The 14,246-nt window shown below is 49.8% G+C and overlaps 4 annotated features.

The window, feature by feature from the left end:
- Nucleotides 6,833-7,127: an enhancer, noted in NCBI's record as "tiled region #5179; HepG2 Activating non-DNase unmatched - State 10:DNaseD, and K562 Activating DNase matched - State 8:EnhW". NCBI's record gives its function as "activates a minimal TATA promoter and a strong SV40 promoter by Sharpr-MPRA in HepG2 and K562 cells {active_cell/tissue: HepG2 | K562}" and the evidence as "EXISTENCE:reporter gene assay evidence [ECO:0000049][PMID:27701403]".
- Nucleotides 6,833-7,149: a biological region, named in NCBI's record as "Sharpr-MPRA regulatory region 5179".
- Nucleotides 7,020-7,149: a silencer, noted in NCBI's record as "silent region_20322". NCBI's record gives its function as "represses an Ori minimal core promoter by ATAC-STARR-seq in GM12878 lymphoblastoid cells {active_cell/tissue: GM12878}" and the evidence as "EXISTENCE:reporter gene assay evidence [ECO:0000049][PMID:35858748]".
- Nucleotides 13,269-14,166: an enhancer, noted in NCBI's record as "H3K4me1 hESC enhancer chr9:130817345-130818242 (GRCh37/hg19 assembly coordinates)". NCBI's record gives its function as "activates a minimal SCP1, AML or CMV promoter by ChIP-STARR-seq in naive and primed H9 embryonic stem cells {active_cell/tissue: H9 hESC(naive and primed)}" and the evidence as "EXISTENCE:reporter gene assay evidence [ECO:0000049][PMID:30033119]".

The raw sequence follows: 14,246 nt of genomic DNA on the forward strand, positions 1-14,246 counted from the left end.
AGGGAGCCACAGAGGAGAAGACATCAAACAATCTTGCAGATAAAATTGTTTAATGAGGCCAGCTGCGGTGGCTCACGCCTGTAATCCCAGCACTTTGGGAGGCCAAAGCGGGCGGATCACCTGAGGTCGAGAATTCGAGACCAGCCTGGCCAACATGGTGAAACCCCATTTCTACTAAAAATACAAAAAATTAGCCAGGCGTGGTGGCGGGCACCTGTAATCCCAGCTACTTGGGAGGCTGAGGCAGGAAAATCACTTGAACCTGGGAGGTGGAGGTTGCAGTGAGCCGAATCCCACCACTGCACTCCAGCCTGGTCACGACAGAGCAAGACTCTGTCTCAAAAAAAAAAAAATTGTTTAATGATCACAGCTGTGCTATGAAAGGGGTCAGCCACAGGAGTGATTGTGTCTGGCGTCACAGAGGGTTGCCCTGAGGAAGTTGCATCTGAGCTGTGATGAATGAATAGGAGCTCTCCAGGGAGAGTCGGAGAAAACAGGCAAGGCAGAGGCAAGAGCATTTACGACGGCCCTGGGATTGGAGGAGGAATTTAGAGACCCCCTGCATTGAAAGGCGGTGCAGCCAGTGTGGCTGGGGTCTGATGGATGAGGGCAGTGTGGCAGGAACTGGAACCAGAGAGGTAGGAAGGAACAGAGATCACACATAGCCTTTTCCCAAAGTGCAATGAGGAGCCACTGCAGCGCTTTAAGTAGAGAAAGAAACTGAGTCACAGAGAGTGATGGAGGTGGCTGGGTGCAGTGGCTCATGCCTGTAATCCCAGCACTTTGGGAGGCTGAGGCAGGTGGATCACCTGAGGTCAAGAGTTCGAGACTAGCCTGACCAACATGGTGAAACCCCCGTCTCTACTAAAAATACAAAAAGTAGCCGGGCGTGATGGAGTGTGCCTGTAATCACAGCTACTCAGGAGGCTGAGGGAGGAGAATCGCTTGAACCCAGGAGGTGGAGGTTGCAGTGTCCCAAGATCTCACCATTGCACTCCAGCCTGGGCAACAAGAGTGAAACTCCGTCTCAAAAAAAAAAAAAAAAAAAAAAAAGGGGGCCAGGCACGGTGGCTCATCCCTGTAATCCCCACACTTTGTAGGGCTGAGGCAGGGGGATCATCTGAGGACAGGAGTTCAAGACCAACCTGGCCAGCATGGTGAAGCCCTGTCTCTACTAAAAATACAAAAATTAGCTGGGCGTGGTGGTGGGTGCCTGTAATCCCAGCTAGTTGGGAGGCTGAGGCAGGAGAATCGCTTGAACCCGGGAGGCGGAGGTTGCAGTGAGCCGAGATCGAGCCATTGCACTCCAGCCTGGACAGAGCGAGAATCCATCTCAAAAAGAAAAAAAAAAAAAGAAAGAAAAGAAAAGAAAGTGATAGAGCTAGAAGTAGGCCTCAGGTCTGGCTAGTTCTGGCACCTGTGCTTTCAATCCCCACTGGAGGGGCCAGAGGGAACTGAGTCTCTGATCCACCTCCTTTACTGCCCAGCTAGGGAAACTGGTGCGTCGGAAGGGGAGGGGGCTTGCCCTAAGTAGCACAGCAGGGCAGGATGTAATCTAGAACCCAGGTGTCCAGGCTCCCAGATCCCCTCTCCCACCAATCCTCAGCAGAGCTGGCCAGACCTTGGCCAAAGCCCCAGCTCCCTGAGTCCCAGGGAAATTATTAGTGCTTGAAGAGCAAAGGGTTGTCCCTTCTTAGGGTCCAGGAAGCTGTGTCAGCCCTGTCCCCAGTTCCCAGTTTGCACTGGTGGTAGCTGGTTAGAACCTGAATCCCAGAGCCCTCTAATGGCCAGGCCAGGGCCACAGTGGATCTGGACTCTGGATGCAATAGAGTGAGACCTGCACACGCCTTCCTCCACCCACTCTGCTGGGGACAGATCGAATTCCAGCCCCACTGACCTCCCAGGCCCTCTGAGCCTTCCAACCATGCTTGACGGCAAAAGGGCCCTGAGCCACCCGGGAACAGAGCACCAAGATCGCAAGGACGGCCAGCCAGGCACGTCTGCAGCCCCTCCCCTCAGCACACCCCCAGGACTGAAGATCCTGGACAGACAACCTACTGTTCTTGCTTACTTTTTCAGGAAAAATTTCTGGAACTGAACTGAACGTACTGAACTTCAAATCTTTCATCTAAAGATTTTTTGAGACGCCATCAGCAAATTGTCCTCTTGGGATTTTGCACCAATTTACACCCCTCCTAACAGTCTGAGGAATGCTGTCCCCACCCCCTATCACCGCTAATGCCTTGGACCCTCTTTTTTGTCTTTGCTAGTCCAATAGGCCACCCCTCTCGCTGTTGTTTTAATTTGCACTGTTTGTCATTGAAGAGAGATTCTCAGACTCCACTGTCTGTGGAGCTTGCTAGAAAAATGGAAAGGTGGCTGGGCGAGGTAGCTCACACCTGTAATCCCAGGTAATCCCTGGGAGGCCGAGGCAGGTAATCACCTGAGGTCAGGAGTTTGGGACCAGCCTGACCAACATGGTGAAACCCTGTCCCTACTAAAAATAAAAAAATTAGCAAGGCATAGTGATGGACGCCTGTAGTCCCAGCTACTCGGGAATCTGAGGCAGGAGAATTGCTTGAACCTTGGAGGCAGAGGTTGCAGTGAGCTGAGATCGTGCCACTGCACTCCAGCCTGGGCAATACAGTGAGACTCTGTCTCAGAAAAAAAAAAGAAAAAGAAAAAAAGAAAAATAGAAAGGCAAACAGACTAGGAGAAAATATTTGTGAAAAATATATCTGACAGAGAACTTGGAAACAGATATAAAAAGAATTCTTTTTTTTTAACCCAGTAGTAATTAAGCAACCAAATACGAAGAATTCTCAACACTTAGTAAGAAGAAGACAATTCAAAAAGAGTAGACACTTAATCAAAGAAAATACACAGACGGCTCAGCTGGGCATGGTGGTGTACACCTATAATCTCAGCTACTCGGGAGGCATAGCGGGGAGAATCTTTTGAGCCCAGGAGTTCAAGGCTGCAGTGAGCTATGATGGCACCACTACACTCCAGCCTGGGCAACAAAGCCAAGATGCTGTCTCTAAAAGAAAAAAAACAGGCCGAGCATGGTGGCTCACACCTGTAATCCCAGCACTTTGGGAGGCTGAGGCAGGTGAATGGCTTGAGCCCAGGAGTTCAAGACCAGCCTGGGCAACATGGCGAAACTCTGTCTCTACAAAAAAATACAAAAATTAGCCAGGCATGGTGGTGCACACCTGTGGTCCCAACAAATCGGAGGCTGAGAGGTGAGAGGATAGTTTGAGCCCAGGAGGTCAAGGCTGCATTGAGCCGTGATTGTGACACTGCACCCCAGCCTGGGTAACAGAGCAAGACCCTGTCTCAAAACAAACAAACAAACAAACAAACAAACAAGCAAAGGCCAGGCGCAGTGGCTCACGCCTGTAATCCCAGCATTTTGGGAGGCCAAGGCGGGTGGATCATGAGGTCAAGAGATCGAGACCATACTGGCCAACATGGTGAAACCCCGTCTCTACTAAAAATACAAAAAAGCCAGGTGTCATGGTGGGCGCCTGTAGTCCCAGCTACTCCGGAGGCTGAGGCAGGAGAATCACTAGAACCCGGGATGCGGAGGTTGCAGTGAGCCAAGATTGCACCACTGCACTCCAGCCTGGGCAACAGAGTAAGACTCCGTCTCAAAGAAAAAAAAAAAAAAAAAAAAAAGCAAAAGTATACAAATGGCAAATAAGCACTTAAAAAGAAGCTCTACCCCATTAGTCTTAGTGACATGCAAACTAAAACCACAATGACACCAGGTGAGGTGGCTCACGCCTGTAATCCCAGCACTTTGGGAGACTAAGTTGGATGAATCATCTGAGGTCAGGGGTTCAAGGCCAGCCTGGCCAACATGGCGAAACCCCGTCTCTACTGAAAATACAAAAATTAGCCAGGCATGGTGGTGCACGCCTGTAGTCCCAACTACTCGGGAGGCTGAGGCATGAGACTTGCTTGAACCTGGGAGACAGAGGTTGCAGTGAGCTGAGGTGGTGCTACTGCACTCCAGCCCAGGTGACGAAGCAAGACCCTGTCTCCAAAAAAAAAAAAAAAACCCACAATGAGATACCACTTCACACCTACTAGAAATGGTTAAAGTTAGGAAGACTGACCAACTGACCATACACCAAATGTTGGCAAGGATGTGGAACCACTGGAACTCACATACCCTGTTGGTACTAATGTAAAATGGTACAACCACATTGGAAACAGTGTGGCAGTTAAACATACACTAACCATATGATCCAGCTATTTCACTCCTGGGCATTTAGCCAAGAGGAATGAAGGCATGTGTCCCCACAAAGACTTGTACAACAAGGGTTCATAGCTACTAAATAATGGAAGCAACTAAAATATCCATCAATATGCAATTGAAGCCTAGTGCAGTGGTTCACGTCTGTAATCCTGACACTTTGGAGGCCAAGGCGGGCAGATCACGTGAAGTCAGGAGTTTGATACCGGCCTGGCCAACATGGTGAAACCTCCGTCTCTACTAAAAATACAAAAAAATTAGCCAGACATGGTGGCATACACCTGTAATCCCAGCTAATCGGGAGGCTGAAGCAGGAGAATCGCTTGAACCTGGGAGGCAGAGGTTGCAAGACCATATCACTGCCCTCCAGTCTAAGTAACAGAGTGAGACTCTGTCTCAAAAAAAAAAAAAGCGATTGAATAGATAAACAAATTATGGTATAACAATTCTGTGATAAAGGAGCAAACTTTTTTTTTTTCTGAGAGGTCTTGCTCTGTTGCCGAGGCTGTGAATGAGCTATTAAGACCCACAACATGGATGCATCTCACAATAATTAGGCTGAGTGAAAAAAGCCAGACAGAGAAAGAGCACAGGCTGCATGATTTCATTTATGTAAAATTCTGGAAAATGCAATTAATCTACAGTGACAGAAAGCAGACCAGTGACTGCTTGGAGTGGAGGCGGGAGGGCGTGGAGAGGGAATGGGAATGGGGAAGGAGGGATGATTATATACAGGGGTCACCAGGAAACTTGGCAGTGATGGAGCTTTTTATGACAATTCTCATGGTCTTTTTTTTTTTTTTTTTTTTTTGAGACAGAGTCTTGCTCTGTTGCCCAGGCTGGGGTGCAGTGGCATGATCTTGGCTCACTGCAGCCTCTGCCTCCCGGGTTCAAGTGATTCTCCTGCCTCAGCCTCCCGAGTAGCTGGGATTACAGGCGTCCACCACCACTGTTGCAGGAAACAGAGGACCAGAGAGACCAATATGGGTGAATACAGGAGGATGGTTATTAAGGTGCACACCGGCTCAGTGGATTCACATCCAAAAAGCTGAGCATTGAACAAAAACAGATTTTAGCTTATATAGGCTAGCATACAAAAGCAAAACAAAGGCAGTGAATTTTACAGTGACAAGTCACATAATCCATAGTATAGCTGCTGACCTGGCACTAACCTATGGCCTTGCATAGCTAGTGGCCTAGCAGTGGCATCGAAAGAAAAGCAGGAACTTTGCAAATCTTACTAAATACAACCATTGGCAAACATGGCCATAACTAATAGTTCAGTACATGAGAGACAGTAAAGGAATTTGTTTTTCTTCTTTTAACTTTGCTCGGGGGTGTCTGGAGCTGATTTCTGCAGGCTAGGTCACCACGACCTGTCTATAGCCTTGCTTGCAGCAGTGAAAAACGTGTTTTTCGCTTAACCCTTACTTTCCTTGGAGTGAATAAACGCAGTATTTATTTTTCTTTAAATTTCTGCCTCAACACACTTGGCTAATTTTTGTATTTTTAGTAGAGACAGGGTCTCACCATGTTGGCCAGGCTGATCTTGAACTCCTGACCTCAGGTGATCCACCCGCCTCAGCTTCACAAAGTTCTGGGATTACAGGCATGAGCCACCGCACCAAGCCAATTCTCATGGTCTTAATTATGGTGATGTTTTCACAGATAGAAGAGATTCCATGTGTGGGGCCTGGGAATCTGCATTTTAAAGAGTTTCCAGGAATTAGGCTGGGTGAGGTGGCTCATGCTTGTAATCCCAGAACTTTGGGAGGCCAAGGCAGGTGGATCACCTGAGGTCGGGAGTTCAAGACCAGCCTAGCCAAAATGGTGAAGCTCCGTCTCTACTAAAAATACAAAAATTAGCTGGGCGTGGTGGCAGGCACCTGTAATCCCAGCTACTCGGGAGGCTGAGGCAGGAGAACCACTTGAACGGGAGAGGCAGAGGCTGCAGTGAGCTGAGATGGTGCCATTGCACTCCAGCCTGGGGAACAAAACTAAAACTCTCTCTCAAAAAAAAAAAAGTTGGGGGGGAGATTTCCAGGAATCTCATTGCACATCAAAGTTTGAGAAACATTGTTGTAGCAGAATCCTTCTGTCCCCTGTACCCCATGTCACTGAGACCTCTCCTGCTGGAAGGTGTGGTTTCAGTGGGGGCTCTTCTGTGAGGACCAGCTGCATGTTGGAGGAGGGTGTCCTGAATCACAGCACTGTCATTTTACAGATAAGGAAACTGAGACCTTGAAATAAACTACATCTTAGGGAAGGATCTCTTGGTTACAAGTAATATAAATCATCTGAGTTGGCCGGGTGCGGTGACTCACATCTGTAATCCCAGCACTTTGGGAGTCCGAGGCAGGTGGATCACCTGAGGTTGGGAGTTCGAGACCAGCCTGACCAACATGGAGAAACCCCGTCTTTACTAAAAATACAAAATTAGTCGGGTATGGTGGCACATGCCTGTAATCCCAGCTACTCAGGAGGCTGAGGCAGGAGAATCACTTGAACCCGGGAGGCAGAGGTTGCAGTAAGCCAAGATTGTGCCACTGCACTGCAGCCTGTGTGACAGAGTAACACTCTGTCTCAAAAAAAAAAAAAAAAAAAAAATCCAGCTGAAATCTTTCTGTCTTCTACTTAGCTTTCCCCTGGGTAACACCCCCATCCCCAAGCACCTCAGGTTTTGATCCTTCCACCTTGAAAACTTCAATGGAAAGAGCAAAAGTCTAGGGTGGAGTCTCATTGGTCTGGGTGGGTCATGTGCTCATACCTGAACCAATCACTATGGGCAGAGGATGTGTAACCCTTGTGGGTCAGCCAATCACTATGGGCAGAGGATGTGTAACCCTTGTGGGTCAGCCAATCACTATGGGCAGAGGATGTGTAACCCTTGTGGGCCAGCTCTGGGTCACATCCTCATCATGGGAGCCAGAATTGGGATCCTGTCTCCAAACTGCATGGACTGTGTCAACCTTAAATATTGAGATTTAGCAAATATGATTAACTAGAGAATTTCTCTGAGTGTGAAGCTTGAGGATAGCCACCTGGGTAACACCAAATCCAAACAAATGGGGTCAGCATTTGAAAGTGGAGAAGTTGGCTGAGGGCGGTGGCTCACACCTGTAATCCCAGCACTTTGGGAGGCAGAAGCGGGTGATCACCTCAGGTCAGGAGTTTGAGACCAGCCTAGCCAACATGGCAAAACCCTGTTTCTACTAAAAATACAAAACTTAGCCAGGCATGGTGGCGGTCACTTGTAATCCCAGCTACTCAGGAGGCTGAGGCAGGAGAATCGCTTGAACCCGGGAGGCAGAGGTTGCACTTAGCTGAGATTGCACCATTGCACTCCAGCCTGGGCGACAAGAGTGAAACTCCATCTCAAAAAAAAGAAAAGAAAAGAAAAAGAAAGTGGAGAAGTTGGCCGGGTACGGTGTCTCACGCCTGTAATCCCAGAACTTTGGGAGGCTGAGGTAAGCAGATCATTTGAGGTAAGGAGCTCGAGACCAGCCTGGCCAACATGGTGAAATCCCGTCTCTACTAAAAATAAAAAATTATCCGGCATGGTGGTGCACGCCTGTAATCCCAGCTACTCCGGAGGCTGAGGTATGAGAATCACTTGAGTCTGGGAAGTGGAGGTTGCATGAAGCCAAGATCACGCCATTGCACTCTACCCTAGGTGACAGAGTGAGTGAGGCTCTGTCAAAAAAAAAAAGAAAGAAAGAAAGAAAAGAAAAGAAAAGAAAAAAAGACAGTGGAGAAGTTAAGGTTTCACTTACATAGGCAGAGGCAGAAATTTTAGCAGGATTACATTTTCCACAGAAGACCCGTGCATACACCCCAGTGATCTGATTGGTTACAGACTGTTACATTCCAAAGAAGTTTCCTTTATTACTCCCTGAGGAGGGGCAATGATCTGAGGGGTTCTTATCTCTGGTGCCACTTAGTCCTAATTATTTACAGGAAAAAAGGCAGAAGTGACAGCTGTATATCACAAGACTCAGGCTGCATAGCCACATTTCTCTTCAGGCTCAGAATGATTTAAAGTTCAAACGGCTTTGAGTTAGTTTACATTTGGATTGTTTCATTTTACAACTAAGAGTGGAGGAAAGATGGTTCCCCAAAACAAGACCAAATGCCACCGCTGAGATGAGGCCTGAGTACTGAGCAGGCATTAAAACAGCCAGAAAAGATCAGGAAGGGCCGGGTGTGGTGGCTCAAGCCTGTAATCCCAGCACTTTGGGAGGCCGAGGCAGGTGGATCACTTGAGGTCAGGAGTTCAAGACCAGCCTGACCAACATGGCAGAAACCTGTCTCTAGTAAAAACACAAAAATTAGCTGGTCGTGGTGGCATGTTCCTGTAGTCCCCGCTACTCAGGAGGGTAAGGCAGGAGAATCAATTGAGCCCAGGAGGCAGAGGCTGCAGTGAGCCGAGATCATGCCACTGCACTCCAGTCTGGGCGAAAGGGCAATACTCTGTCTGGAAAAAAAAAAAAAGCCTGGGCACAGTGGCTTATGCATACAATCCCAGCATTGTGAGAGGCTGAGGTGGGTGGATCATTTGAGGTCAGGAATTCGAGACCAGCCTGGCCAACATGGTGAAACCCCATCTCTACTAAAAATACAAAAATTATCCAGGCGTGATGGTACATGACTGTAATCGCAGCTACTTGGGAGGCTGAGCCAGGAGAATCGCTTGAACCCGGGAGGTGAAGGTTGCAGTGAGCCAAGATCATGCCACTGCACTCCAGCCTGGGTGATGGAGTGAGACTCTGTCTTAAGAAAAAAAAATTCGGGAAGATCAGGACACTGTTGGACCCCACCTTGGCCTCAGCCTCAGTGGGATTCCTTGTGGCAGCCAGTTCTCTTTCGCGCTTGATTCCTGACAGGCAGGTGGCCTGTCATGTATTATTGCCAGCATGCATCCACACTGACTCAGCTGAGAGCAAAGCAAAAAGCCCAGCCTAGTTGTCCCAGTGAGTCAGGCCAGCCTGGGCAAAGGAGGAGGCATCCTTACTAGGGACCATTGTAGCTCAGATGGCCAACCCCACCTTGTATGGATGGGGAGAGTGAGGTGCAGGGGAAAAGGGGTCTGGCACCCAGGCCACCTGGCTACCAACCTCTGCCTCCAGCTGCCTACCTCTGGTTCCTCCCAGTGGGCTACAACTGGCCCCAAATGGTTAAGGTCTGGAACTTGCAAACAGATTTTCATGGACTGAAGCCAGCCCACCGGAGTGTTTTGTTTGTCTTATAGGAGGCTTACAAATACTTAGTAGTCAATATGTGTAAACTGGGAGCTTCCTGTTAAAACCTGGAATTCTGGCTTCTTTTGTAAAAAGAAACAGGCAAGGCCAGGCGCGGTGGCTCACGCCTGTAATCCCAGCACTTTGGGAGGCCGAGTTGGGCGGATCACAAGGTCAGGAGATCGAGACCATCCTGGCTAACACGGTGAAATCCCGTTTCTACTAAAAATACAAAAATTAGCCAGGCGTGGTGGCGGGCGCCTGTAGTCCCAGCTACTCAGGAGGCTGAGGCAGGAGAATGGCGTGAACCCGGGAGGCGGAGCTTGCAGTGAGCCAAGATGGCGCCACTGCACTCTAGCCTGGGCGACAGAGCAAAACTCCGTCTCAGAAAAAAAAAGAAAGAAAGAAAGAAACAGGCAGGACAGGCCCACATTCCTGATCATCAAGATCACCTGAAGCCAGGCTCAACCTCCACCGGCCTCCTACAGGAGCAAGCTTCGGACCCTTGTCTGAGCCCAGGGATATTTGCCTGAGTGGCTGTAGGCTGCAGGCAGTTGAGTTTATGCTGCTGGGATTGGCAGAATCCTTGGAGAGCTGTGTAGTCATGATGGGTCCTCAGGTGGGGCCCTTCCTGCTGTCTTCAGGCCAGGCCCTGTGCAGGGCTCTGGGGCTCCTCCTCACCCGTGTGCAGCTCCTGACACCATTTATGGCCTTCACTGATTCACTGAGTCTTCTCATCAGCCCTCAGAGGCCACACAGGTGGGGAATTGGCAGCACTATGGAGGTGCGAGGGAAGTGGGACTTCCCCAAGGTCACAGCACCCATATGGGGCCGGGCTACTCTAGGTGGGGCTCCTGATCCACCTGTCCCAGGTCCAGGGGACAGGAGCAGCTCCGGAAGGCTGATTCATGCTCACGCTGTCATGGGAGGTTGACTCACAAAGGCAGCTGTGCAGCCAGGCACACCTGGGGCGGACCCCCAGCTTTGCCATTTACAAAACCTGTGGCATCAGGTGAGTTTTGGCTCTTTAGTCTCTTCCTGTCTCAAATGTGGAAAATGCAAAATGGTTTACAGGAAGCCTGTCAGCGTTCAACGCAACCGACATCACAATAAAAGGTATATTAAATTCTCAGCTCGGGGACTATGCTATGCACTCGAAAAGTGGGAATAAAACAGATGTTGTCTTTGTAGGACAGCTGGCAAAACAACTGGTGTGATCTTGCCCCCCCCGCCAGGGGACATTAGGCAATGTCTGAATATATTCTGATTGTCACAACTGGAGGGGCCGGGCGCGGTGGCTTGTTCCTGTAATCCCAGCACTTTGGGAGGCCAAGGTGGGCAGCTCACCTGAGGTCAGGAGTTCAAGACCACCCTGGCCAACATGGTGAAACCCTGTCTCTATTAAAAATACAAAAATTAGCCGGCTGTGGTAGCATGTGCCTGTAGTCCCAGCTACTCGGGAGGCTGCAGGAGAATCACTTGAACCTGGGAGGCAAAGGTTGCAGTGAGCTGAGATCATGCCATTGCACTCCAGCCTGGGCAGCAGAGTGAGACTCAATCTCAAAAAAAAAAAACAACAAAAACCTGGAATGGGGACTGGTTACTCCTGGCATCAAGTGTATAGAGACCAGGAATGCTGCTAACCATCCTACAGTGAACAGGACAGCCCCCACAATAAAAACTGTATCCAGCCGGGCACAGTGGCTCACGCCTGTAATCCCAGCACTTTGGGAGGCCGAGGCAGGCGGATCACCTGAGGTCGGGAGTTCAAGACCAGCCTGACCAACATGGAGAAACCCTATATCTACTAAAAATACAAAGTTAGCTGGGTGTGGTGGTGCATGCCTGTAAACCCAGATATTCTGGAGGCTGAGGCAGGAGAATCACTTGAACCCGGGAGGCGGAGGTTGCGGTGAGCCGAGATCATGGCATTGCACTCCAGCCTGGGCAACAAAAGCGAGAAACTCCATCTCAAAAAAAAAAAAAAAAAAGTGGCCAGGCGTGGTGGCTCCTGCCTGTAATCCCAGCACTTTGGGAGGCCAAGGAGGGCAGATCATGAGGTCAGGAGATGGAGACCATCCCGGATAACATGGTGAAACCCTGTCTCTACTAAAAATACAAAAAAAAAATTAGCCAGGTATGGTGGCGGACGCCTGTAGTCCCAGCTACACAGGAGGCTGAGGCAGGAGAATGGCATGAACTCGGGAGTTGGAGCTTGCAGTGAGCCGAGATCGCGCCACTGCACTCCAGCCTGGGTGACAGAGCGAGACTCCGTCTCAATTAAAAAAAAAAAAGAGTATATCCAGCCCAAAATGTTAATTGTGTTGGGATTGAGAAACCCTCCTATAGCAGGACACAGACATTTAAACCGTACGATTACATGTGTGTGCCTAAACACGTGAGAGGAAACACAGGCCGGGTGTGACCCAACGAAGTTCCCTATAGAAAGTGATGAGATCCACGCTGGATGTGAGGGGTGAATAGGAGTTACGAAAGTAATGAGGAAGAAAGTTGTTCTGAGTAAGAGGAACAGCAAAGGCAAAGATTTGGAGGCTAGAAAAAGAGCCTGGGCCAGGCGCAGTGGCTCACACCTGTAATCCTAGTACTTTGGGAGGTTGAGGCGGGTAAATGGCTTGAGGTCAGGAGTTTGAGGCCAGCCTGGCCAACATGGCAAACCCCATCTCTACTAAAAATACAAAAAATTAGATGGGTGTGGTGGCATGCCCTTGTAGTCCCAGGTACTCAGGAGGCTGAGGCAGGAAAATCGCTGATTCCAGGGAGGCAGAAGTTGCAGTGAGCCGAGATTGCCATACTGCACTCAAGCCTGGGCAACAGAGCAAGACCCTGTTTCAAAAACAAACAAACAAACAAACAAAGGAAAAGAGCCCTTTTTTTTTTTTTTTTTGAGATGGAGTCTTGCTCTGTCACCCAGGCTGGAATGCAGTGGCATGATCTTGAAGAGCCCAATATTTTTAAGGAAGTAAACTTTCTTGATGTGACTGGAATGCAGAGTATAAGGAGGGAAGTGGCGATAGGTCACATTAAGGAGCTGATACTTTATCCGGGGAGTTAAGGGACATAATTGAAGGATGGAACAGGGTGCAGCATGGGTAGATTTGCTTCTGAAGACCCTCCTCAGCAGGGCCTGGAGGCAGGAGGCCAGTAAGGAGGCTGCTGTGGGTATCATGGGTGATAGAGAACGTGGGAGTGGGGGAGGGAGGAAGAGCATCTTCAGAACAAGATGTGAGAAGAGAGACAGTGGGTGGGACCAAGGAAGGCATCCAAGTGTCCAGCTTGGGTAACGGAATGAAAGTGCCTCTCCCAGAGTTCCACTGCAGCAGGGAGCAAGATAGACAAGGTCCCAGAGCCAAAGATCAACCAGTGAGGAAAACAAGCAACTCAGCCGGGCACGGTGGCTCACGCCTGTAATCCCAACACTTTAGGAGGCCAAGGTGGGTGGATCACTTGAGGTCAGGAGTTCGAGACCAGCCTGGCCAACATGGTGAAACCCCGTCTCTACTAAAAATACAAAGATTAGCCAGGCATGGTGGTGGGCACCTGTAATTCCAGCTACTCAGGAGGCTGAGGCAGGAGAATCGCTTGAATCTGGAAGGCGAATCTTGCAGTGAGCCAAGATCGCGCCACTGCACTCCAGCCTGGGTGACAGAGCGAGACTTTGTCTAAAAAAATAAATAGGCCGGGCGCAGTGGCTCATGTCTGTAATCCCAGCACTTTAGGAGGCTGAGGTGGGCGGATCACCTGAGGTCGGGAGTTCAAGATCAGCCTGACCAACATGGAGAAATCCCGTCTCTACTAAAAATACAAAATTAGCTGTGCATGGTGGTGCATGCCTGTAATCCCAGCTACTCGGGAAATTGAGGCAGGAGAATCGCTTGAAGGAATTGCTGAGGTGGAGGTTGCAGTGAGCCAAGATCGCACCACTGCACTCCAGCCCGGGCGACAGAGCGAGACTCTGTCTCTAAAAAGAAAGAGAGAGAGGGAGAGAGAGGAAGGGGAGGGGAGGGGAGGGGGGAAGGGGAGGAGAGGGAAAGGGAGAAGAAGGGAGGGGAAGGGAAGAGAAGGGAAGGGAGGGAGGAGGGGAGGGAAGGGAAGAAGCGACTCCAGGTAGCATGAGAGTTAAGAGAGAGGACGTCCAGGGGGCCATGGGCATGAGCAGCAGTGAGAGCTAGCCTGGACCGGTGGGAGCTGGAAAAAGACCTCTTGAGGAAATAAGCAGAGCCCTGGAGGCTACCCAGGAGCTGGGCAGGGGAAGAGGTGGGGCAGGGAACCAGCACATTCTGGCACAGCCTCTAGGGCTCTGCCACCGGACAGACCATTTTGAGAACCACATCCCCCTTTGTAAACCTCCATACTGAAGTTAGTTCATCATCTCTAACCAAAAGACTGGGTTTGTCCCTGCCAGTTCCTCCCAGCAGGCACTCTTTCGCACCCTCTGAGAACCTCGACTGATTGGTCTAGAATTTCTGCAAGGGTCAGGAAGGCAGTTCAGGGAGATTTCCAAGCAAGGCATGTGAGTGAGCCGTCTTAGGGGTAGAGGCCCAGCCCCAGAGGGGCAGGTCCAGCTGCCACTGAGAAAAGGACAAGCTGTTCCCTCTGGGACCTGATCAAATTGCAAAATCATGAGCAAATAAATGATCATTGTTTTCAGCCACTAAGTTTCAAGTTGGCTTGTTACACAGCAAAGACAACTGAAGCAAGCAGCTACTGGTGTTGAGTACCTGCCG

The sequence above is a fragment of the Homo sapiens genome, chromosome 9 (assembly GCF_000001405.40).
Source record: "Homo sapiens chromosome 9, GRCh38.p14 Primary Assembly".
Lineage (NCBI taxonomy): Eukaryota > Metazoa > Chordata > Mammalia > Primates > Hominidae > Homo > Homo sapiens.